Consider the following 25,989-nt stretch of genomic DNA (forward strand, 5'->3'; position numbering starts at 1 on the left):
CCCAGGGTGCAGGCCAGCCCCATCCCCCCAGGGTGCTCCCTTGCCCTGCCCTGCCCCTCTGCAGCCACACCCAGCCCATGCCTAACCCGGGCAATCTATGACTGCTTCCCCAGCACTGTCATTTCGTCTTTTTGAGAATGTCAAAAAAATGTCCAACACATGGAATCACATAATGTATAACTTTTGAGACCAGCTTCTTTCATTTAGCATAAGACTGAGGAGATTCATCCAAGTTGTTACATACACATCAAACTGTTTCTTTTTTTATTACTGAGTGATATTCTATTGTACGGATGTACCAGTTTATTTATCCATTCACTCACAAACATTTGGGTAGTTTCTGGTTTGGGTGATTATAAACAGACCTGCTACAAACACATATGTTTGTGTGAATACAGGTTTCATTTCTCCAAGAGTAGGACTGCTGGGTCATATGGCATATTTAATTTCATAAGGCACTTCCAAACTTTATTTCTGGACTCTCTAGTCTGTTCCATTAACTGAATTCCTTGATACTAATTATATTAATCAGTGTAGCTGTACAGTAAGTGTTTAAACTGTGTAGTATGATTCCTCCAACTTTACTGTTCTTTTTTCAAAACTATTTTGACTCTTCTAATTCCTTTAGCTTTCCATATAAATTTCAGAATCAGCTTGTCTATATCGCCAAAAAAATCCTGCTGAGATTTTGACTGAAACTGCATAAAATCTCTAGATCAATCTTGGGCAGAACTGACAGCTTTACTATGTTGAGTTTCCCAAGACATAAACATGTTACGTCTCTCCAATTATTTAGGTCTTCTTTGATTTCACCTAAGAATAACCACAATGACAACTAGCAAAAGGACAGTTTTATTGTTTTCAGCATACAGATCCCCTAACTATTTTGTTAGATTTAGTTCATGGAGGGCAGGCTTTGTAAACAATACTGTTTCTGTATTTTGCTTTCAATTTTTCAGTGCTAGTATACAGAAATAGGATTGATTTTTCATGTTGACTTCCTGTGTTATCCTGCAACCTCACTAAACCCACTTACTCATTCTAAAAGGACTTTTTTGTAGACTCCTCAGAATCTTTGGCATAGACAATCACGTTTTCTGCAAATAAGGACAGTTTTGTTTCTTCCTTCTAATGTGTAGGTCTTTTGTTTTCTTGACTTACAGCACTGACTACAACTTCCAGTGCAATACTGAACATGACGTTGAATGCTAACAGTGGACATCCTTTACTTGTTCCTAATCTTAGGGGGAAAGCAATCAGTCTTTCACCATTAAGTATGATGTTAACTAAAGAGTTTTTGTAAACATCACTGATTATGCTAAGGAAGTTTTCTTTTATTGCTAGTTTGCTCAGTTTTTAATCATAAACTGATGCTGAATATCGTCAAATGTTTTTTCAGTATCAATTGCCAGGATCATATGGTTTTCCTTCTTTAGGCTGTTACTATAATGAATTACATTTATTGATTTCCAAATAGAAAACAGACTTGCATTCTCTGGATAAAGCTCCACTTGGCTATAGTGTATTATTCTTTTTGCGTATTGCTGGACTCAATCTGCTAATATTTTGTTGAGTATTTTGCACCTATGTTTATGAAGGATACGGGTCCACAGTTCTGTTTTCTTGTTATTATTAATATTATTTTTCTGGTTTTGATATCAGGGTAATGCTGGCTTCATTTCATGAGTTGGGAATTGCTCCCATCTTTTCTGTTTTCTGAAATAGATTATATAAAAGTGGCATTATTTCTTCTTCACATGTCTAATAGAATTCATAGTGAATAGGCCTGAATATTTCTTTTTCAAAAGTTTTTAAACTATGAATTCAACTTACATATTAGTTATAGGACTACTCAGGTCATCTACTTCATCTTGGCTGAGTTTTGGCAATGTGGAGTTTCATATTCATTCATCCATTTCACCTAAATTGTCAAATTTATGTGCAGAGAATTGTTTGTAGTATTCCCTTATTATCCTTTTAATACCCGTGAGGTCTGTACTGATATTCCTTCTTTCATTCCTAATATTAGTCATTTGTGTCCTCCCTTCTTTTTCAGTCTTGCTAGAAGTTCATCAGTTTTACTGATATTTTCAAACAGGTTCTTGTTTCACTGGGTTTTTGCTATTTTTTAATTTTTAATCTATTGTTTTTGTTTTCAATTTCATTGGTTTCTGCTGTTATTGACTTCTGAATAGCTTTGGGTTTATTTTACTCTTCTTTTTCTAGTTTCTGAAGACAAAGATCAGATCACTGAATTAAGATCTTTTTTCTGTTCTAATATAAGCACCTAACGCTAAGCATATTTGAGCTGCATCCTACGAACTTTGACATGTTGTATTTCCATATCTGTTAAGTTCACAATATCTTCTATTTTCCCTTGAGATTTACTCTTTACTTTATGGATTTTTACATATTGTTTAATTTCCAAGTGGTTGAAAATTTTTATTATCTTTGTTATTGATTTCTAGTTCAATTCCATTATAATCTGAGAATACATCCTGTATAATCTCAACTCTCTTAAAACTGAAGTTTGTTTTATGACCAAGGATATTGTCTATCTTGATGAATGTTCCATGTGCACTTGTAAACAACGTGTATCCTGCTGTTGTTGGGGAGAGTGCTCTATAAATATCATTCCGATCCAGTTGGTCGATGGCGATGTTCAGTCCTTCTGTATCATTGCTGATGGAATAGCTAGTTGTTCTTTGTTTACTTAGAGAGGATGCTGAAGTCTCCAACTCTAATTGTGGATTTGTCCATTTCTCCTTTCAGTTCAATCAGTTTTTGCTTCATGTATTTTGAAGCTCTATGTTAGATGCAAGCAATTTTAGGATTGTTATGTCTTGGCAACTGACCCTTTTATCATGTGTACTATCTCTCTTAATTCCTGGAAATTTCCTGTATTCTGAAGTCTAGTTTGTCTGATAGTGTCAATAGTAATATACCCACTCCAGTTTTCTTTTAGTGTTTGAAAAGAATATTTTCCATTCTTTTAATTTACGTTATATTTATTTAAAGTATACTTCTTATAGACAGTATATAGTTGGGCTTTGTCTTTCATTAAGCCTGACAATATCTTTTAAACTGGTGTGTTTACACTATTTACACGTAATGTAATTATAGGCATACCTCAAAGATACTACAGGTTCAGTTCCAAACCACTACAATAAAGCAAGTCACTGAATTTTTTGGTTTCCCAGTGCATTTAAAAGTTGTATTTATACTATACTGTAGTCAATAGGTGTGTAATAGCATATGTCTAAAAAAAAAAAAAAAAAAGTACTGTACCTACCTTAATTTAAAAATACTTTATTGCTGGCCGGGTGCAGTGACTCACATCTGCAATCCCAGCACTTTGAGAGGCACACAGATCACCTAAGGTCAGGAGTTCAAGACCAGCCTGGCCAACATGATGAAACCCCATCTCTACTAAAAATATAAAAATTAGCCAGGCATGGTGGTGGGCACCTATAATCCCAGCTACTTGGGAGGCTGAGCCAGAAGAATCGCGTGAACCTGGGAGATGGAGGTTGCAGTGAGCTGAGACTGCGCCACTGCACTCCAGCCTGGGTTACAGAGCAGGACTTCATCTCAAAAAAAAAAAAAAAAAAAAAAAAACTTTCTTGCTAAAAAAATGCTAACCATTGTGCCATTATAGGTATGGTGACTCACGCCTATAATCCCAACACTCTGGGAGGCCAAGGTAGGAGGATCCCTTGAACCCAGGAGCTCAAGATGATCCCAGGAAACACAGCAAGACCTCAACTCTACAAAAATTAAAAAATTACCCAGGCATGGTGGCACATGCCTGTAGTCCTAGCTACTCAGGACACTGAGGTGTGAGGATTGCTGGAGCATAGGAGTTCAAGGCTGCAGTGAACTATGATCGTGCCACGCACTCCAGCCAGGGCAACAGAGTAAGACCCTGTCTCAAAAAAAAAAAAATGCTAAGGATCATCTAAGCCTTCCAGAACATTGTAATCTTTTTGCTAGTGGAGGGTTGTGCCTTGATATTGATGGCTGCTGCCTAATCAGAGTAGTGGTTGCTGAAGGTTGGGATGCCTGCAGAGCTTTCATAAAACAAGACCACAATGCAAGTTTGCTCCATCAATTGACTTTTCATGTCATAAAAGAGTACCATGCAATGCTATTTGACAGTATTTTACCATAGGCAGAACTTTCAAAATCATAGTCAATCTTCTCAAACCTTGCCATTGCTTTATCAACTAAGTTTAGGTAATATTCTAAATATTACATCTATATACCTTTAAAATCTCACCAAACACTGCAGCCGAGCAGAAACTCTGCCACACCTCGGAGAGCCCAACGGACTCTAGCCATCTGCCAGAGCAGGGTTTCGCACTGTCTGTGGTGCCCTGGGTCACCGCTAACCATCCTCCAACACCGCCAATGGGGCCAAGGAGGCTGGGGATGAGACCCTCATACACACTTCAACCCACTTCGCTCTACTTGTTTTTGCCGTCTTAATTGGGGTGCAGAGAACATTTCATTTCAGAATTAAAAAAAAAAAAAAAACCTGAGAATCTCTGCTGTGGTCCTACCCCTTGGTACACACCCAAGGTCCAACAAGCATTAGTGATAAGTCACAAAGATAAGCCAGGGCTAGAAACCAGAACCGGCTCCCACCTCAGCACTCATCCACCAAAAAACCTACTGGTAAAGGCCACATGAGGCCCAAGCTCCAATGCTCCAAACGTGCACGCCACACAGGTGAATCTTGCTGCAAAGTGTGTACACATCAGCTGGAGGTTCACCAAGTCATCCCAGGAAATCAGTATGTGAACAGCAATAAAACCCATGATAAAACTGGTCTTATCAGGTTTACATAAAAACATCATACTAATCTTTCTAAAGGCATACCCATGACATGAAAAAAATTCTGTAAATGAAACATCTGCAAACATATTTGTGAACTTTTGCTTTTGAAAATGAATGAACTTGCTAGAAGCTCACCGGAGATGCATAAGAAATACCTAATAATTTACCTCTTCAGAGCTCATGCTGGCTGAGGGTACCTTGTAGACCAGACAGTGCGAGGGGTTGGGCTGGATCCCACCCTGCAGAGGCAGGGTCACCCTTCCAGAATCAGCTTCCAGCAAGGGGTTCCAAACAGCCCAGCGGACCATGTGCATGCATGCCAGGTTGGACAGAGAGGTGACCGAAGCTGCCTAGAATTAAAACAAAGCACATCGGTGTATGAGTTATCACAGAAGTCACCTGGAGAGGGGAAATCAACAGTGCTTTCATGTGTAAAATTCAACGAGAGCTCAGTGTAGCAAGGGGCAGGGATCATCAGTTGCATTTTATAAAAGGAACTAGGGCAGGAGGAGGACATGGCATCCACAGTGCAGACAGTAGGGCACAGATAGTCTTCAGTTACATGACCCCACCGACCCAGTCAGGACCCCTGCCCACCCATGAGTCTCCTTTTCTGGCCCAAGGTAGTGATGGCTTCCCCCTTAGAGACCAGCACTGTTTTATGAACCCCTGTTCCCATAAGGATCTTTCCATAGGTTTGTAAACACTCTGCACCTTGCCAACACCAACTCAAATCCGTCAGGAAAATACTAGGAACAGCACTTTGAATTCCTAATCAGAAATTTGGTAAAATAACGAAGAATGCACATGTATATTCAACTCAGCATTATTAGCACACATTTTCTCCACAAAGCTCCAGCTTACAATAGCACATTTCGTATCTGTAGCTTTCAGGAAATTGGGAAATCGATCGGGTCAAATTCCAGGCATTGTTCCTTCTTTCTGCTTCTCTCTGGCTGGCCAAATGGAAGGAATGAGGACACTGTGAAAACCAATCCCTTGGGTTACAACCACATTAAAGTCATTGTCACAAACACGGTTTCACGGCTTGACTGAGTAAAGAGTTTTAAAATTACCAACTTTCATCCATTTACTTAAAAAGAAGTAGGACTAAAGCTAAACCCCGGTCTTTTTTGGACCCCAAAGTCCAGCAGAGCCACCTTGTTGAAGAGGACTCCAGAGGTGATCAGCTCTGAACCAAGGCCCTGCCTGCAGATCCTGCAGGCTCCCCTGGTGGGTGGAGCACACTTAAGTCACCAGGAAGCCGATTAGCCAGAGGCCCATGGGGTACAGGCAACAGCGGGTCCGACCAGGAGCCCCAGTTAGAGCTCTTTCCACTCCTAAGATCACAGCTGCACTGATCAGTAAGTGCTGCGGAGCGCTGCCTAGACCAGAGCCACCGGAACAGCCCAGAGGAAGGAGGAGCAGCTGTCCACTTCCACCTGGGACTTCCAGCCTCTGTGTCCCATGCGCAGGAGAAACAACCCCCAAGCAGGAGGTGGTGACTGGACCATGAGCACAGTGCTCCACTTCCTACAGTGCTCCACTTGCTACGGCTTCCCCCCAGCCCTGGCTAACAGAGACAGCTGCACCCTTCAGGGGTGACAAAAGTAAAATGGGGTGGCTCCCCACTGCTCCCAGTCCCGGGCTTGGCTAAGGCAGCCAAGGGCATCCCTCTTAACACTGCTGCCTGAGGGCATGAACCCAGGCAGCATCGCAAGCGCAGCCATGGTCACAGCGAGGAGGTGGCCCGGAAGGAGGACGCGTCCCACTCTTGGTGACGAATGGACGCCCATGCCCTGCCTAGGATGGGTGGAGCACAGCATCCACCAGGAACAGAGACACCCAGAGGATCCAGGAATTTGCGCTGCCCTGGGAGCGAAGGAGGAGGCAAGACTCCAGTGGTGGTGGCCAGGGGTCCTAAGGGACTTTGCTTATTTGGCTGGACATGCCAGTGGGGAACAGCCACACCAGTGTCACTGCCCAGACTGCACTCAGGTCCCACACAGATCCCCGCATGCATGCGTGCTCTCAAGGCCTCTAAAATCCGGACACAGATGGCCCCATGGTCTCTACTGGGCTAAACCACAGCCAACTTCATATACAAGCAGATGTGAATACAGAAAAGAAAACAGTTCTTGTTTCTTCCAAGTTAGCCTCTTCCAGACTGTTCCTGCCAGATGATATCCCATCCTGTTATATCCTAATAAAAATTTAGAATCGGCATCTTGTTTCACATTAATCTCTTTTCCCATCACAATCGGACTTCAAACCATCCACTTCTGCAGAGCCCTTTGCTGCAGCTAAATTCCAGATCATGGGCCAGGTTACTGCCACATTCACGCCCCCGTCACAGGGTGAGCGGGGATTTGGGTGGTCCCTGGCAATTCAATGAGAAAACACCCACACCATGGAAGGACATAGAATCAGAAAAGTAAGAAATGGAAGCATATGACTCTAAGCCACACTTTCAACATTTGCCAAATACAAAAACAATGTCTTCCTGTTCCCCATCCAGTTAGCTGACAACAGATTATAAAACAGTGCTGAGCAACTATAGCATACCAACGACATGGTGATTATAACTCCACTGCTTTTTAAAAATCAAATTACAGCCAGGCACGGTGGCTCACGCCTGTAATCCCAGCACTTTGGGAGGTCGAGGCGGGTGGATCACCTGAGGTCAGGAGTTCAAGACCACCCTGGCTGACATGGTGAAACCCCATCTTTAGTAAAAATACAAAAATCAGCTGGGCATGGTTGTAGGCACCTGTAATCCCAGCTACTCGGGAGGCTGAGGCAGGAGAATCGCTTGAACCTAGAAGGTGGAGGTTGCAGGGAGCCAAGATCACACCACTGCACTCCAGCCTGGGCGACAGAGTGAGACTCCATCTCAACAACAAAAAAATCAAATTACTATAAATGTATTAGGAAAACTTGTCACTATAAGGATTCAACAATGTCTAGACTACTTTTGTAAACAGTTATCATTATAAAATACAGAAGTGTATTATTACAGGATCAAAAACAAAATAAAGTAAAATATGTATCTACGTTTTCATGCTATCTATACAACTTCTAATTTTCCACTTAGGGGATTCCAATATCTAATTTTCCAATTTCACAGTTCTTTTTGGTTCTCCATCAGTAGATGATCTCCTCTGTGCAAAGTATCTGTCAGTTACATAAACATGCATTTTTCCTCACTTTTCTGTTTAACAGCTTTAATAACAACAACAAAAAATCTGTGTAGCCAATTATTGATCATTCTTTCTGAGACCTCAACAGGCGAATGGGGGCCTGGTGGGAAGCCAGTCGCCATGTATTTGCCCACACTTGCTCACTGCCAGCCCACAGAGGGACCGGCAGACAGGAACTGCCCGAAAACCACCTGGCTCTGCAGAGAAGGCCAAGCACAAGCAGAGTCACAGTGAGTCTAACACGCTCCTACAGCCAGTGGATCCTAGTGCTTGAGATGACATCCACTACTTCATCATTCCTTTTCCTGCCCAACTTGGGTTTGAATTCACACAAACTGAAAAGAAAAAAAAAGCCCCAAATACACCGAATTGCTCCCATTTAGACTTTTTAAGTATAACAGCACCAAATACACAAGTACAAATACACAAAAGACAAAATACACAATACACAAAAGACAAATGAGGAATACACTTGGATTATGAGTCAGGTTTTGTTGTGGAACAGAAGTGCCACACTTGCATTTACCACGCAAAGCCGCTCACAGAAAACAGGCCCTTGGCCTCTGGAAATGCTACAAACCAGAGTCCCTGTGGCGGGCTCAATGTGTCCTCCAAAAAGATGCTCTCAGCCTAATCCCCGGAACCTGTGGCTGTGGCTTTGTTGGAAACAAGGGTCTCTGTGGATGTGATTAGTTACAGTGTTGTGGGATGAGATAATCCTTCATTATCTAGACTGGCCCTAACTCCAATGGCAAGCATCCCTGTAGGAGCAGGGGAGAGAGAGACAGACACAGAGGGAGACACAGAGAAGAGGCCACATGACGAGGGGGCGGAGAACGGAGTGATATGGCCACAGGCCAAGGACAGCTAGGAGCCCCAAAACCCACAAGAGGCAGGGAGGCCCCATCCCACAGAACCTCCGGAGGAACTCAGTCCTGCCACACCTGGGGTTTCCTCGGAAGGAGCTCGGCCCGCCACACCTGAGCTTTGCCTGAGGAGGATCTCGGCTCTGTCACACCAGGGGTTTCCTGGGGAGGAGCTGGGCCCCACCACACCTGGGGTTTCCTGGGGAGAAACTTAGCCCTACCACACCTGGGGTTTGCCAGCAGAGCAGATTGTGGACCTGTGGCCTCAGAGCTGTGAGAGCACACATTTCCGCTGCTTTGAGCTGTGGAGGGTGTGACACTTTGTTACAGAAGCCACTGGAAAGTCATACAGGCCCTTGATGGCTTCTGTCCTCAGATCAACCTGAACTTACTTAGACGAAGGTGAAAACATCACATTACTTCACGAGCTTCATTTTGTTTAGATTTTCAGTGAGACCTTTTCACTCTTGCCTAGGCACCCAGCCTCTGGCCCTGGGCCCAGTTCTGCTGGGACCTCCAGCCCCAGGAACTGGGAATGCACAGTGAAGGGGATGGCGGCCGTTCTCTGGGTAATGACAGGGTGGGGTCCCCGCCAAGCAGCGCACTCACGCTCCACTGTCTCAAGGCCTTATCCAGATAGAGAGCTGGGCCCAGGGGAACTGCCACCTCGATGGAGGTGACATGTGGCACTTGGCTGAGGACAAATTTTAAAAAGACAAACTACTGCGTCAAAACATCTCTGAATGTTCCTAGTATCACACAAATCACAGAGGACATAAAGAAAAAAGAGAGAGAAATGTAGGTCTATAATTATGCAGACGAAGGAGACAGGGAGGCCTAAGATAAGTGTGAGGAAAGCAGCTCAGGCCCTGGGCTGGGAACACGCGCAGTCACACTCACGTGGTGTGAGAGCCACAGCAGGGACAGGGCTGACCCCTCGCAGGCACCATCCACCCTGTGCACCAGCTCCCACCCTGTGAAATGACCACCATACAGGCGCAGGAAACAGAGCAACCAGCCGCACACGGCGGGTGGCACAGACCCAGGAGCATCCTTGGAGGTGGAGCCTGGTGTCCCCCAGCAGCATGACAGGTGGGGCACACAAGCGGCGGGTGGCTCCGGAACTCAGAGCTCAGGGCACGGGCTGAGGGCAAGTCCTTCCCGATGGCTCGCTCGCTGGCCGGCATTCTCCCTGAAGGACACGGAGCTCTTGGCCCTTGAGGCGAACTTCACAAGGCCAGAGAGACTGAGCCCCACCAGGTGAAGAGCTGGGGGTGGCAGGCAGCCAGGCTGGCGTTGGTGCCTCTACCTCCTGGCTGAGCAGCAGGAAGAACCAGGAGCCCAGAGGTCACAACAGCAGCACAGCCACTGCCAGCAACAGCGGAGGTTCACAAGCCAGATGCCATCAACCAGAAGCTACTCAGTCCTCAAATCGGATCCAGTACATGCAGAACTGAGTCCAAACGAGACGGACAGCAAACCCGGCAGTGGCTCCCAGACATTCCTGGGGGAAAGGAATCCTAACCACAGGCAGTTAAAGTCATCTCCTCCAACCCTCTATGACACAGGCTGTGCGCTGTCATTTAAAAGCTGAGTGAAATTTAACCCTTTTCCCATTTAGAAAAACAAAGCGCAGCTGGCTGCCAGCACTCATTTAATTTTACATAAACGTGCTCTTTGAGGCTGAAGCAAATCTGACTGATTTTCAATGTGAAAATAAAATGTAAAAACTGTTCTTGGAATTATTTCTAAACAGAACATCAGAATCGTCTGAATCATCAGAATCGGCTATTTTGGAAAAATCGGATTCATCAAACGAATCTTCGGCCAACAACTGTTAGAGAACGATGTTAACACCACGCATAGGAATGTTACATTTTCTAGAATTTGACATTTTCATTGACGGAAAATTACTGTATCTTGTATATGGAAATACCACTACTAAAAACATAATGCTATAAATAGAATGATGTCTTTTGTTTCCAAAGTCAATATACTCGAGCAATGCAAAAATAATAATAAAAGTGAGATACTTCATGGCAAAGCTGCCGCAGGATAAACATTGCAGCCACAAGTGCCCCCAGTATTCTCGGGGCAAACTGGAAAAGGGCTAACAGGCAACATTTTCATGTTATTCTACTGAGTGCAGTAATTATTTTTAAAAATATACATGAATAATGAAAAAACTGTGGTATGGTTTTAAAGAAATTTCCATAACCTGGTGAAACTCTTCACACAGGGTAATAGGTTCATAAAGCCTTGGTCCTCTGCAAAACAAGCATCAACTTGACAATGACTAAAAGAAGCAACAGCAAAACTGTCACGCATTTGGAGCCATGGCCTGGGTTGGGCCGGTGTAAAGCTCTCCGCCCTCTGGAGCAAGTCTGGGCCCCAGCGGCTGGCATGTGGGCACTGCAGGGCCTGGGTTGGGCAGGTGTGCAGCTCTCCGTCATCTGAGCCTAGTCTGAGGCCTGGTGGCTGGCACGTGGGCCCTGCAGGGCCTCTACTTCTCACCCCAGCTCCACTTCCCTCCCTGCCCTCACTGGGTCTCACAGAGCCAATGAACACTGGGGTCAGATTCAGGGCCCAGCATCCACTGCAGTGGGCACTGCCCTTCCACAAGGCCTGGCTCCAGGAAGCAACCCCCACCTCAGCCACACAGTAGGGCAACAGGAAATCCCATTCCCCCATGCCAGTGACTACACCAGGGAAGGGGCTCACGTGAGGCTGGCCCCAGGCCTGCTGTGAGACCGCGTTGTCTATGAGCTTGGATTTAAGGAACTTGGGAGCAAGAAGCTTTCTTTCATTACGGGCCACCAGCAGGGAAAAAAGTTAGCCCAACGCAGTTGACAGTCACACCCCCACCAGGACCCCAGGGCACAGAAGGAGGGAAGAGGACAACAGAGGATGAGGTGGGGCCAGCAGAGGGACAGAGAAGAGCTGCCTGCCCTGGAACAGGCAGAAAGCATCCCACGTGCAAGAAAAAGTAGGCCAGCTAGACTTAAAATCAGAACTACCGCTCATCAAAAGATAGTGTAACATTTGGGGTGCTATAATTTTAACATGTCCCCCAAAAGGCATGTGTTGGAAATTTAATCCCCAACAAACCAGGGCTGGGAGGTGGAGCCTCATGAGAGGTGGTGAGGCCATGAGGGTGGAGTGAATGGATGAATGCCATTGTCTCGGGAATGGGCCTCTTCTACAAGGACGAGTTCAGCCCCCCTTTCTCTTGCTCACCCTCTCTTTGCCCTTTCGCTAGGGAGTGACGTAACAAGAAGGCCCTCACAAGATGCTGGCACCTTGATCTTGGACTCCCCATCCTCCAGAACCATGCATGAGCCAATAAATTCTATTCACTATAAATGACCCAGTCTGTGGTATTCAGTTACAGCAGCAGAAAACAGACTCAGACAGGAGCAACCAGGGAAAGGGGACACAAATCTCCCCGCTTTACTCTTCATAACTGCAATATGAATCTACAATTACCTCAAAATACAAAGCTTAATTTTAAAGACAGCATGCGGTATATAATAAGAGCTACATAAAATGCTAGTAAAATTGCTTAAATAATAATGACTGTCTACAAAAACAAAATAAAAACACAGTGCTAATTCAGACAATATAATGAAAGAAAACATCCCATTTACAACAGCAGCACAAAAAATTAAATACCCATGAAAAAATTTAATAAGAATTGTTAAAAATCTACATTTTAAAACCATTTTTAAAATCATTCCTGAAAGACACAAAAATAGACTTGAACAAATGGAAAGACATCCTGTTCTTGGTTAGGGCAACTAAACATCCTTGAGATGTAAAATTCTCTCTAAATTCAATCATAAATTTACTGCAATCCCAATTTTTAAAATGCCAATCAGCATTTTTTGGAGCTAGACCTCTTGATACAAAAGTTAATCCAGAAAATAAACATGCAAGAAAAGCTAGAAAAGCAAGGAAAAGAAGAACCATAAAGCTGAACTTGCCTTACCAAATGCTAAAACACACAACAGAGCCTCCAAAATTAAAACAGTATGGCCATGGTACATTAACAGACAGGGCAGCCCATGAGAGTAAAAGTCCAAAAACAGATGCACTATCCATAAAGACAGAGTATGTGATAAAGACAGCACATTAAGTCACCATGGCAAAGGGGGACTTCTGAGTAAGTGGTAGTGGGACCAGATGGCCACTGGGAAAAGATAAAATCAGATCCATCCCTCACACCACAAACAAGAGATCTAGACAAAAAAAAAAAAAAAAAAAAAAAAAGGGCAGGAGAAACATTGCACGAGGAGAAAATATGGGTGAATTCCTCTATGACTGGGGAACGAAGAAAGGCTTTTTCCCTGACTCAAAATCCAGATACAATAAAAGAAAGAACTTATATATCTGACTACATTAAAAGATGTTTTAATGTTTACACAGCCAGGAAAAAAAATAAAAAGATAAATGACAAAATGAGGAGAAAATATCTGCACTATTTATCACAGATAAAGAGCAAATATCCTTAACATACAAAGAACTTTTAATATTTGATGAAAAATGCAAAAACTACAGAAAAATGGGCAAAATAAGTAGAGATGAAGATGAGCCTGAAGCATCTTCTGAAGCCAGAAAGTACTCAAACACAAAACAGGACGAAGGATGCCATAGGACACAGGGGCCAGCCTCAAGGACTCCATCCGGCCAAATCTGGGACAATTTGTACCAAAATAATCAGAAGCAGTGACTTTGAAAACAGGGATCCCTGAGTCCAGACCCATGTGCGCTTGATGGACAAGTCAACCATCTACCCACCAGTGAGGAGACAGGGGGCCCTGGGGACAGGAGGTGCCATGCCAGCTGCAGGTCTGTGGGAAAGCTGGGCTGGGGCTCCTCCTCCTGCAGGAAGCATAAACGACGCCAACCCAAGGGGGACAATCGGATGAGGAGCAGATACCCACGTGGTCTCAGAGTCTCCCCACAGATCACTTATTAGCTGCATGGAGGAAAAAAGGTAACTCTACAGTGGAGATATCAGCAAAGATCACCACAACCAACCTCGCCCAGGATGAACACATGCACGTCTGGATGTGGGACCCAAGGACTGCCCCTTGCTCACACGGACCACTACCAGGAAGGCACAACCTGACTCCAACTATGAGGAAGCATCAGATGAACCCAAGCAACATACGCATTAAAAATTTTTTAAAGAAGGGAGACTAGGCCATGCACAGTGGCTCATGCCTGTAATCCCAGCACTTTGGAAGGCCAAGGCGGGTGGATCACAAGGTCAGGATATCGAGACCATCCTGGCTAACATGGTAAAACCCCATCTCTACTAAAAATACAAAAAATTAGCCGGGCGTGGTGGCAGGCACCTGTAGTCCCAGCTACTCAGGAGGCTGAGGCAGGAGAATCGCTTGAACTCAGGAGGCGGAGGTTGCAGTGAGCCGAGGTCGCGCCACTGCACTCCAGCCTGGGCAACAGAGCGAGACTCCATCTCAAAAAAAAAAAAAAAAAAAAAGGAGACTAAAATATTAAAAATAAAATCATAAATGACAAAAAAAAAAAAAAAAAGCTGAGGAACTGTTCCAGAATTAAGGAGGTCAAAGAGACACAGAAACCAGACACAAGACATGATCCTGAACTGGACACGGTACTGGAGGAAAGGCCATCAGGGACACACATGGATCAGTTCAACAGACCCTGGAACATGGGCCATTGATTTTGTTCCAAGAATATGAGTTAATACATAAACAATAAATCAGGCAAATCTTCACCCCTTAGAGATTTGGGGAGAGGGTTATTTTGTCATGTGACCCACAGAAAAGGACTGTATTCACCCCCAGAGGCTCAGGAGGATGCCCGCTTATTCAGACATGAAACGCAGCCAAGACACCGGATCTGGTGATTTTTGCAGGTTTGCCCCTGTTGCATTTCATGCTCATGTTACAGGGAGTTTGCTCCATCACTCATTCAGTCAGCAAACATTTCTGGAGCCCACACTTGCATGCATAAGACATTTCAAAAGAGGCAGTGCTGTGGCAGTCAAATGAGGTTGCACTGTCCCCAGGATCCTGGGAAGAAAGTGGTCTGGACAGGAGGGACTACTTCTTTGGTAGTTTCTTTAGCTTCTTCACAGCTAACCCAAACATAAATTACAGGAAAAAGGTTTTAGATGCTTTGGTTAACTAAAAAATGCAAAAAAATTAACAGCAGATTAAAGTCAGTGAGTGTGTCTTGGCAAAACTTTTGTTCCTAGTTTGTTTCCAATGACTACAAAATACTCAGGACCCAAAGAATACATGCAGACTCCAGTGCCTGGGTGTGCCCTGAACACAGTATTTGTTCCATGTTCTCATCAGCCCAGGTAGCCTCCTCGTCTGTGCATACCATTTACAGATGAATCCTTCCACAAAGGGCCCCTAGACACCATAGCTTTTGCCTCCTGATCTGATGCATGAGGCCAAGTGAAGCAGCTGCCAAAAGCCTGGTGCATTTTGGCTCTCCCAGCATTACGAATGTGTGATGAAGGCAGCAGGGCCACAGGGAGAGCAGATCCTCCAGTCAAAGGCAACATGAGGAAGCCACTGCCAGGGAACAACAGACAGGCCGCCCAGCTCATGCAGGAAGACGGCTGTCACAAGTCACTTTCCAGGGAAAAGCACATTGCTGGGGTTTGTCCGTTTCTTATTAAGTAAAATACTTAAAAAATGTACACCCAGGCTGACTGGATGTTTGATGATACTAAGAAATGCAGTCAAGGTTAGGTGTGATGATGGTGTTCACAGTGACACTCCAGAGCCCTGTCTTTTGGAGAGACATGGTGAGCCATCTGTAGATGAAAGGATGCAATGTCTAGGATGCGGTCTCCAATAGCCCAGGTGGAACGGGACGGGAGAAAGAGATGAGACATGAGCGATAAATTGGGGGTTGGAGGTGGGTGCAGGGAGCGCACCACATGCTTCTCCACTGTTAGCTTTGAAATTTCCCAAAATAAAAAAGTTTTTAAAAAAAAAAGAAATGTTCATGCCAAAAGGTTTACAGATGAAATAAAATGATGCCTGGAATTTGTTTCAGAATAATTCAAAACGGGTTGTGGGAGAGGACATAGAAGAAGCAGATTGTCCAGGAAGCTGGCAGCCGGGGAAGCTCCGTGGGGCCCATCGCACCAGCCAGCCTGTTTTCAGCTGTGCTTACAGCTTCCACCACGCAGGGTCCTCACCAAAGACAAGGAGGAGGACGCTGCAGCCGGAAGGCACAACCACACCCAGCTGAAAAAATCCCCACCCAGCTGAAGAAGGCTGCTCTGGGAGACACTGCTGCAGACGGGGTGGCTGAGGTGGGAGGGCCCTGCCACAGCCCGCCCTGGGCCTTCCAAGGAGCGCGCTGGGCTCCTCTACCACAGCCACCGTCACAGACGGCCCCGCCATTGTGCCTTTCTCCTCTCACGTCCCGCTCAATTCCAGTTTCACCCGGTGGATGCTTAACCCACTTCCAATGGTTCCGCACAGGAAGCAATTTTTGTGTGGAAGGTCATTTCACACACTGCAACATTTCCATTCCAGATTTCACCCAGGAAAGCGCACTTGATGACAGTAAAGTGGAATCCAGTATTCCCAGTTACAATCGACCAGCACATCGGAAAGTACCAATGACTGGCCGGGCGCGGTGGTTCACGTCTGGAACCTGAGCACTTTGGGAGGCCAAGGAGGGCAGATCACTTGAGGTCAGAAGTCTGAGACCTGCCTGGCCAACGTGGGAAAACCCCGTCTCTATTAAAAATACAAAAATTAGCTGGGCATGGTGGCCCGTGCCTATAGTCCCAGCTACTCAGGAGACTGAGGCAGGAGAGTCACTTGAACCCAGGAGGCGGAGGTTGCAGTGAGCCGAGATCGCGCCACTGAGGGGCGACAGAGTGAGACTCTGTCTCGAAAAGAGAAGAGAAGAGAAATCAGTGACTCCATAGCCTCACCCGCACCCGCACCCCAGACGCCCATGAAGCGGCCACCATCGAAACCACCTGTTGTCAGGAATTTCAGATGAGGGTTAAAAAAGAATAAAGTATCGCTAAGACATCTTGGTTTCAGCATACAGATGTCATAATCACAAGTAAATTACAATTAATATTCTCTAGAAGACACTGAGAGTGAGGCGCCAGCCCTCCTGCTCCTCCCCACCTCCCCCCACAGCCCCTGGGAACCACACATCAGCCATCAGGCGCTGCCAGGACACCCTGAGGCCATTTCTCCTCCGCTCACTCCCCAGCCTGGGCAGCCCCATCCCTCCCCATGAGCCACACCCACCCCAGAAGACCCCTCCCACCCAAGGGTATTCACAAACAGCTGTATTTTAGCTGAAATTTCTGGTCATAAGTAAAGAAAAGCAGAACTGGAACAGTTTCATTAAATGACTGTGACTGTGTCAGTCCACAGAACGCTTGGCACTTCTGGATTTCTGCACCTAATTAGGACTCGGAATCATAGGGACCGGAGGCATGGACACTGGCAAGGTCAACTCGCCGCTACCAGAAGAGATTAGAAACACCAAATGGCAGCTACACCCCGACACCCTGCTCTCCGGCCTGAGGCACACCCTAAGACCGTCCTCAGCACCTCATGCTCCTTCACAGGCTGTTCCTGAGAGAGCGGCCCAGTCGCGATGGCAGGCCAGATCGCCATGGAAGATGTCTTGTCAACCGTTTTTTGGTTTCTGATTTACTTGTTAAAATGATACAGAAGTACCCCGATCTGCAGTTTCAGTGACCCTCAGTCAACCTTGGTCTGAAAATATTAAACAGAAAACTCCAGAAGAAAACAATCCCTAAGTCCTAAATTGCGTGCCACTCTGAGCAGTGTGATTAGATCTGGCATTGTCCCCCCCCAGGGCGTGAATCATCCCTCCGTCCCGCATATCCACACTGTAGACACCACCCACCCATTGCAGTTGAGAGGTAGAGAGAGAGAGACTACGTTCACTTTTATTACTGTATATTATAATTGTTCTATTTTATTGTTATTGTTGTTAAATATCTTACCGTACCTAATTTATAAACTGTGTCATAGGTATGTATATGCAGGACAAAACCTAGTATGTACCGTGTAGGGGTCAGTACTACAGAGGTTTCAGGCCCCCACTGGGGTCTTGGAACAAACGCCCCATGGAAAAGGCGGAACTGCATTATTGACTTTTTCAAACAGAAAACTAAATCTTAAGAACAGCAGGATTTGGGTTTCTCAAAGAATCTACATTAATATAAATGATGTCCACATATTTTATTTCTTTCAACTGAACCTATAAATTCTTACTCTTAGTGTTCTATAGGTATATATAAAGTTCCCTATGAGAAACCATCTCTCATTTGTGCAAACTCAAGCTTTACCACACTACTGTCATATAAAAATACATTAAAATGGCCTCATTTTTCAAAATAATTAGCGATTCAATAATCATGAATTAACGCTATTATGATACATGAAACTTACTGACCTATGCATTACTCCCAGCCAGCAGAATGCACCTGTGATTTGTGAAATATGTATTTGATCTTCGTCCAGTTTCCTGGTATACAACTCCTGAAACCCCCGGAATCTCCGAAGTGCTATCTTTTGTGTGCTAATGAGATGACTGTGGCTGGTAGCCCCTAGGTGGCTTCAGGATGGGGCTGCTCACAGAAAGACCAAGGCAGGGGGAGGAGAGTGACTGAAGGTTACATTGATCATCAATGGCCAATGTTTAATCAATTATGCCTACGTAATAAAGTTTTCATCAAAACCCAAAAGGACTGACTTCAGAGAGCTCTGGACAGCTGAACCCATGGAAGTGCCCAGAGGGCGGTGCCCAGGAGGGCATGGGAGCTCCAAGTCCTTCCCACATTCTTTGCCCTCTCCATCTCATCTGTATCCTTTGTAACATTCCTTACAATCAGCTGATAAATGTCAGTAAAGTGATTTTTACTTATTATTTATAATAATCATGCCTGTTTTTAATGGAAAAAGCATTCATGCCCACTACATTTATCCTCACACACAGAGTTCACCACCAGAGGAAACCGAGTGCAAAAGGGCTGTTCTTACATTGCCGTCCACTCCTGCAGGGCTGCTGAACACGTACTCCAGCTGGAAGATGACCGCAAATGCAGGGTGGCCGACCATCTCTGGGAGGCGGAGGCGGCTTCTCAAAACCAGAGCTTGGCTCCCGGAGCTGGGTCAGAAACACAAACCAGGGACACATTAGAGCTCGAGCTCCCATCCTTCCCGCATCCACGTCGACCACTGTCAGAACAGTCAAGGGGACACCCTGGGGGACACAGGGGTGCTGCTGCAACAGCAAGTCCACCATGTAACACTGCACGCTCTCCCAAATGATTCAGAAATTCCCCAAAACGCTGCTTTTTAAGAGATGGGGGTCTCACTAGGCTGCCATGACTGGTCTCAAACTCCTGAGCTCAAGCAATCCTCCCGCCTCAGCCTCTCATTGCTCTTTCAACGCATTTCCAAATTACCAAAGCTTGCCTGCAGGCCTGATACGGCCAAGTTACCAGGAAATGCCACAGAGGATGGAGGCTCCTTCCTCAAGGCTGGCCTACGGCAGAGGACACCTGGCCTCTGCCTGGCACCATGAGAGAGGAAAGGCATGACGCCCTGCAGTGATGTCTGTGACACCTGATTTGGGAAGCACTGGATTAAACAGAGCAGCAGGTCTTGCTGCCCCCTGACTCTCCGTCCTATGAGAAACTAATCACAGGGCACGCCTAGAAGGCAGCATGCAAGGCCTCCGTAGACCCTCAGCAGCCGCAGCTGGAAGCATCCATAATGCTAACCCCCAAATTGTCAGAGCACAAAAGGAAAAAAAAAGGGGGGGGCTTTTTCCAAACTTCCAACTCCAAAGTTTGTTCCTAATGGGCACAACTTCCAAGAGGAAAGAAACACAAGGAAGAACTCCCACGTGGGTGAGTCAACACCTGACATGCACAAATGACCTCATTTCATCGTGATCCCTTGCACATCCCCACCCATCCCTGGGGACCCAAGAGACAATACCTGGTCTTGGAAGAGGAGACCACTTTCCTGCTGAAGCTAGCTGAGCGCGTCAAGGCCACATCCATCTCAGGCACCAGTACAACGACCTGCGGCCTCTGCACGAAGCCCAGACCATTGTGCACGCCCACACGCAGGCGCCGCTCCAGGATCTCCAGGGCACCACCGTCCAGTGGGCCACATCCCTGGAAGAGGCACAGAAGGAATGAGCCCCGGCACAGACGGAAAGAGGGAGCTCGCCAGAAGTCCCTGGGGGAGGCGAGCAGAGAGAAGAAACTGGAGCAGAAGTTGCAGATAACTGCAGATCAGATGATGCTTAGTCAAGATGAGTGCAAGCAAATGACAGATACAGCACCCAATCCCAGCCACTGGCCTTGGGGCACTGCCCGGGCAGTTTTGGCATTTCCAACACAGCATGATCCTCTCAGCAACGCACACCCTCAGATGCCTCGATCCCCAAAACCCGACACTAGCTTTCCAAGGCTGGGCTGACCATTCTCAAGATGCAGCAAACTCGTACTTGGCTCCTTCAAGACTCCTCCAAGGTCCCACAGCCCACTCCCCCAGAGCCCCCCTTTCCCAGAGGCTGCTTCCCCAGAGCCCCCTTCCCTGGGGCCCAATTCCCTGGACGACGATGGAGAGGTGCTCAGAGGCAGAGCTCATCACATTTCAACTCTGTCTACCCAGAGACCTGAGACTGGGTGTACAAAGGGAAACATGTTTAGGCACTAAGTCATAAACCAATAAAAACAGAACCAGCCCCAAAGTGGTCACTCGATATTAAAGTGTTTCATCTTAACAAAAATGTACAGGCGCTATAACAAATGAACAAGGATATTCCCCTGGCTATTAGTGTTTATTAAATTATGTGATCTTTGCAAAATGATCCTCAAATTTTCAAGTTTTCTTTACTGTCCATTAATCAAGCTGAACAGACCTAAATTCAGCCTATTAGTCTTTGGATAACGAAAATAAAACTATGCAGATAACTGAGTATCTGCCAGTTGGATTGGAACAAAAATACAAAGATAGTAAAAATACACAATAAAGTGATTTTTATGGGACTGTATAAAATTCAACAATGATATTCCTAAAACAACTCTACCCTCACACAATCCGCCCTGACAAACAAGAAAACAGCAGGAACTACACCAAGGAAACGGATGTTGGTGTTTCAATCCTATTCTCTGCTTTGTGTTTACATAAGACCATATTATGTAGAACTGCATTTTCAAGAACGGGTAGGGAGCAAACAAGTCCAGCTCATTCACATACATACACACACACACACACACACACACACAACTTGCTAACTTCATAGACTACTAGGATGAGCACCTGAATCATTCATTCTCACAACTAAATAGTACAGCCCTCCTATGTGCCAAACACCGTTCATGCACATCACGTGTCATTGTAAACAAAACAAAGTCCCTGTCCTGGTGACACTCACCACAGGAGACCGACAATAACAGATAAGAAGGCCAGCTGCTCCCAGGAAGGGCTGAGCACCCGGGAGGAACGCGGGGTGACAGCTGGAGACACGGTGGCAAGGGCGGGGAACAGCACCCCCGCAGGACAGTCAGAGGACCCCGTCCAGACCTGAAGCCTGAGGGGAAACAAGCAGAGATGTGCAGGAAGAACATTCAGGAAAGTCAGCTACATGCTCCAGGACCCATGCAGGGACAAGCATGAGTCCGAGGCCACCTAGGCAGAGGCATGCCTGAATCCGGGACCACAAAACAGGCCCAGGAAGCAGCACACAGTGAAGTAGGGAAACCAGCAAAGACCAAACCATGACCAGGAGGCAGCACATAGTGAGGCAGGGGAAACCGGCAAAGACCAAACCACGTGCATCTTGGAGGACCAGGAGCCTAGGTGTCAGTCCAAGGGCAATGAGAAGCCAGCAGCAGGTTTTAAACACAGAAGAAAAATGGCTGAATTTATGTGGCCTCTCCTGTGGCAGCCAGTCTGGGCTTGCTCTCATGGAGGCAGATGTTTAAGAGAGGAGTTTAAGAGAGGGTCCCTAAAAGTCCAATTACACTTCATCTTACCCAAAAGGCCGAGAAGCAATGAATTTATGTTTTTAAAAGACCTCTTTGACTACTGAGTGAAAAAAATGTTCTCTGGGACTTTCAAGTGAACATGAGGGACACTTCCTCAGAGAATTTCCTTCCCCCAATACCTAAGGAGCAAAATATGCCACCAATCAAGGATGGCAGCATAACAGACCGCACCAGCCTTCAGGACCTGGCACCAAGGCAGGACCCAAGCCTTGAAGCTCAAAGGGAGGAGGGCAGGCACCATGCCCAACTCCGCCTCCACCCCCAGGAGCTATGGCCGAGTTGGCAAAATCCTGGGAATTCCACCAAACCCTCATGGTAAAGGATTCATCTGCAGCTCCAGGTAAGGGATCTTTAAAGCCATACCCTTTGTCCTGTAACCTGGAGTCCCCTACCTCTCTGACTCTGGACTTGGCCAGTGACCTGCTTTGGCCAGTGGGAGAGTAACAAATTTAATCCAAAAAGAGGTTTGAAAATGTCTGCACATTTCCAACTCCTCTCTTAAACATCTGCCTCCACGAGAGCAAGCCCAGACTGGCTGCCACAGGAGAGGCCACAGGAGCCACGCCACCCCAACCAAAGTCATCCTAGACCAGCAGCCCCCAGCGGACCAGCCAACTCATTGCAGGCCCATGAAGATTTTCCAAAAAAGTCCCTTTTACTTCCTGCTCGAGATTCTACTAAAAGTCAGGATACACATGGAAGAATGCTCAGCCCCAACCTGAAAATAGCCCAAAAGTCCATCAACAGTAGAATGGATTTATAAATCCTGGTGCCCTCACACGGACGACCATCCAGCAAAAAAAGTGAGCAAATGGAGCCACAGCCACTGCAGACAGCCTCCCACGGGAGCATGGTCTTGAGCAAAAGCAGCAAAACAAAACAGAAGAAAAAAGTACGACTTCATTTAAAGATAGGTCAAAAGCAGGCAAGCCTATACTGTTTAGAGATGCATCGATAGGCGGTAGAACCAGAACAGAAAGCCAAGATGTGATTAGCACAAAGGCCCGAGGGAATGGGCGGGGAGGAAGGTGCAGCCGGAGGAGACCCGCGAGGCTCTGAGGGTGCCTCTGTGGGTGCCGGGCCCAAGGCCTCCCTCTGCCGTCCTTCCTCGTGTCGCGCAGTCACACAATTGCATTCTGTGCGCTTCTGCGGGACTCATCACGAAAAGGGTGTGACGTGAAGAGGACTCGACGCAACAGCAAGATGTTACCCACACCAGTCTCTTGGCTCTCTGCAATTAAAGTTTCTTTCTCTTTGTTTCTGAAGTTGAAAGTGAAGACTCTCTCATTCTAGGAGGGGGAACAAGGAGTGGTTTGCCCACAACCCAGGTCTGAGGGCCCCTCCTTCCAGAGTTGAGAGCAGCCAGGGCTGACCCCTCTTCTCCCTACTCCATCTGGTGATCATCAGCAAAGGCGCAGGCAAGGGGGCTGAGCCCAGGGCTCCAGCAGAACCAGGCAATCTCCGTCCCACATGCCTGTTCCCCCTGCTGCTGGCGACAGAAGAGCCAGGGCGGACAGACCTCATTCCAACACTATTTGTGACAGTTCATCAGGCCCAATTTTTCTAGACCAAGGACAGATTATCGCCTAGAAAACATAAGCAGTCCCCAAACCTGCAAAGGCTTTTCCAAGTCTTGTCTGGCATACAAACAAGCTTCTACACAGAAAATCCAAGACAACTTTTGCTGTCAGAGGTGACAGGAGCTCTAGAAACAACCTCCCTGGCCCTGGTGTTTTACAGCTCGCAAGCCAGAGCATCGCTGGGACGGAGCCGGAGAGGAAACCCCAGCGCATGCTGCGTACTAGGCAGGCTGAGCTCCACGCACCTGCACGACGCAGACATCCCTCCCAGGGGCCACAGGCAAACAGGCTCAAAAGCCTCTGCCTAACAGATGGACAAGCCCTCCAGACGCCCTGCCTGGGCACCTGGACAAACCCATACACTGAAAAGCAACAGACAGGAACAGCAGGGAGTGTGAACAGGCTCTCAGTGACCAGAACACAATGACCTGTGACACGGGCAGGCCGAGGGGACAGTGAGTCTGGGGGCGCCTTCCCAGGGGCCCAAGGTGGGTGAGATGACCGAGGCTTCCAGCCACCTCCGGAAACGAGCCCCATGTCCCCGCCGACGTCCTCTGAACATGGGAAGGGTTCTATGGGTTTCCCTATGCTCATCTGGTGATTTAGTTTACTTTAAATGAGGACTATTTCATGATCTACCAGAATTAACTTTAGTTAACATCTCAGGCCAACAGCACCTTCATCACTGTTGAAGTTAAAACAACTGGAGGCTCTGTGGGGGCCTTGGCTGTGGAGGAAAGGGGTCCCTAAAGATCCAATTCACCTCCAGAAAGAGGGGAAAAGACAGAACTACATCCTTAGGGCCACAGGGCCCTCCTCAGCAGCATCAGATGCGGGGTCTCCCCTGCCCCACCCACCCCTACCCTGCCCCACCCACCCCTACCCTGCCCCACCCACCCCTACCCTGCCCCACCTCCTCCCTGCCCTACCCGGGTCCCACCCCTGCCTGGCCCCACCCTGCCCCCCATCACGCTTCTGACTCCACACCTCCTGGAAGTGGTCCTGGACGTGGAGCTCCAGCAGCTCTTCCTCAAACTTCTCCAGGGAGGGGTACAGGGTGAAGAATAAGTCATCCAAGTGCCCCGTGATGGGCTTCTGGAGGCGAGGCTTTCGGAGAGCGTCGCCTGAAACAGTGAGGGTGCGAAAAGGGTCATCCTTGGGAATAAAACACCCACTGGCAGCCACCGAGGGTCCCTACCCACCCCAGCCTCAGCCGGGGCCTGCAGCAACGAAGGGTGCTCGGGACTCCCAGACAGAGCACAAGGCCCAAGCCAAGCCTCCACAACAATTAAGCAAATACAGATTTCATTGGCAGTCCAAAATCTACCCCAAACCTCCTCCAGGAACAGTTTTTCTGTTGTTTTGTTTTTCATTTTTTTGTTTTTCTGCTTGTTTGTTTGTTTGTTTGCTTTGAGACGGAGTCTCGTTCTGTCGCCCAGGCTGGAGTGCAGTGGTGTGATCTCAGCTCACTGCAACCTCCGCCTCCAGGTTCAAGCCATTCTTCTGCCTCAGCCTCCCAAGTAGCTGCGATTACAGGTGACTACCATGACGCCCAGCTAATTTTTGTATTTTTAGTAGAGGCGGGGTTTCACCATATTGGCCGGGCTGGTCTCGAACTCCTAACCTTGTGATCCGCCTACCTCGGCCTCCCAAAGTGCTGAGATTACAGGCGTGAGCCACCACACCTGGCCCAGGAACAGTTTTTATAATTCGACAACTCAAAGAACACAGATTGGAGAAGGCAAAGTGACACGTGCGGCCCTGCAGCCTGCTGCCCGGCATGGCTTCCTTCCTCTCTCCAGCAGGAACACGGCCAGCCACGCCGCTCCTTACTTTACTGTGTTACCTTGAACCATCTGCAAACACACTGAGCAGGCATGAGCCTGTCAAGGCAACCAGCAAAATACAGCCTGAACGGCACCACGAGAAAAGGGTCCCATCCAGAGGACAGTGGCCCCAGGGACCCAGCTCACGGTCTCGTGCAAAGCAGGCCCATGAAAAACCTTGGCTGAGAGAGGGAAGGACCCTGGGCTGCCTGGGGAGCCTTCTCCACTTGCTCTAGAGCAAAGGCTCATCCAGGAGGAGGAAGGATGAGCCAACCGTTTCCCAACCTACACACACCTGTGGACTCTGCCCCTTCTTTCTCCACCATCGTCATCTTCTTCTGGTCCTAGCTCCATCTCTTCCTATATTTTAATGATCTTTTACTTATGTAGATATGTAGATTTTTAAAAGCTAATTTCAAAGTTGAAAAAAAAGAAAACACTGAGGTAACACTCCATGCTGATGAAACTGCCGTCAAAAGAGCACTCTACTATCCTGCTGAAGATTATGAGTCAGTATCGCCTTTGCCTTTGAGTATGTCAAAAGCTTTAAAATATCACTTTCTGCCCCAGTAATTCCACTTTTTGAACCTA

The 25,989-nt window shown here is 46.9% G+C and overlaps 1 protein-coding gene across 32 annotated transcripts in view, besides 3 other annotated features; it reads right to left on the reverse strand.

Moving 5' to 3' along the window:
• NPHP4 (nephrocystin 4) overlaps positions 1–25,989 on the reverse strand; it is a 129,615-nt gene that overhangs the window by 65,330 nt on the left and 38,296 nt on the right. For 29 of the 32 annotated variants that reach the window (NR_111987.2, XR_007058632.1, XM_006710563.4 and 26 more), the window contains 4 exons: positions 24,560–24,696; positions 19,930–20,111; positions 18,964–19,090; positions 5,007–5,189 (listed from right to left, as the gene is read on the reverse strand). Coding sequence is in view for 28 of the 32 variants with exons in the window: in XM_006710563.4 (XP_006710626.1) it covers positions 5,007–5,189; positions 18,964–19,090; positions 19,930–20,111; positions 24,560–24,696 (629 nt within the window). In the remaining 4 variants the exon portion in view is untranslated. The remainder of the gene's footprint in view (positions 1–5,006; positions 5,190–18,963; positions 19,091–19,929; positions 20,112–24,559; positions 24,697–25,989) is intronic. The other 3 variants (NM_001291593.2, XM_047417607.1, XM_017001001.2) reach the window with 1 other exon arrangement.
• Positions 11,451–11,951: an enhancer, noted in NCBI's record as "H3K4me1 hESC enhancer chr1:5999651-6000151 (GRCh37/hg19 assembly coordinates)". NCBI's record gives its function as "activates a minimal SCP1, AML or CMV promoter by ChIP-STARR-seq in primed H9 embryonic stem cells {active_cell/tissue: H9 hESC(primed)}" and the evidence as "EXISTENCE:reporter gene assay evidence [ECO:0000049][PMID:30033119]".
• Positions 15,826–16,326: an enhancer, noted in NCBI's record as "H3K4me1 hESC enhancer chr1:6004026-6004526 (GRCh37/hg19 assembly coordinates)". NCBI's record gives its function as "activates a minimal SCP1, AML or CMV promoter by ChIP-STARR-seq in naive H9 embryonic stem cells {active_cell/tissue: H9 hESC(naive)}" and the evidence as "EXISTENCE:reporter gene assay evidence [ECO:0000049][PMID:30033119]".
• Positions 21,304–21,601: a silencer, noted in NCBI's record as "fragment chr1:6009504-6009801 (GRCh37/hg19 assembly coordinates)". NCBI's record gives its function as "represses an EF-1alpha promoter that drives an FKBP-Casp9 reporter gene in an ReSE screen in HepG2 liver carcinoma cells {active_cell/tissue: HepG2}" and the evidence as "EXISTENCE:reporter gene assay evidence [ECO:0000049][PMID:32094911]".

The sequence above is a fragment of the Homo sapiens genome, chromosome 1, assembly GCF_000001405.40.
Source record: "Homo sapiens chromosome 1, GRCh38.p14 Primary Assembly".
In the NCBI taxonomy this organism is placed as follows: Eukaryota; Metazoa; Chordata; class Mammalia; order Primates; family Hominidae; genus Homo; species Homo sapiens.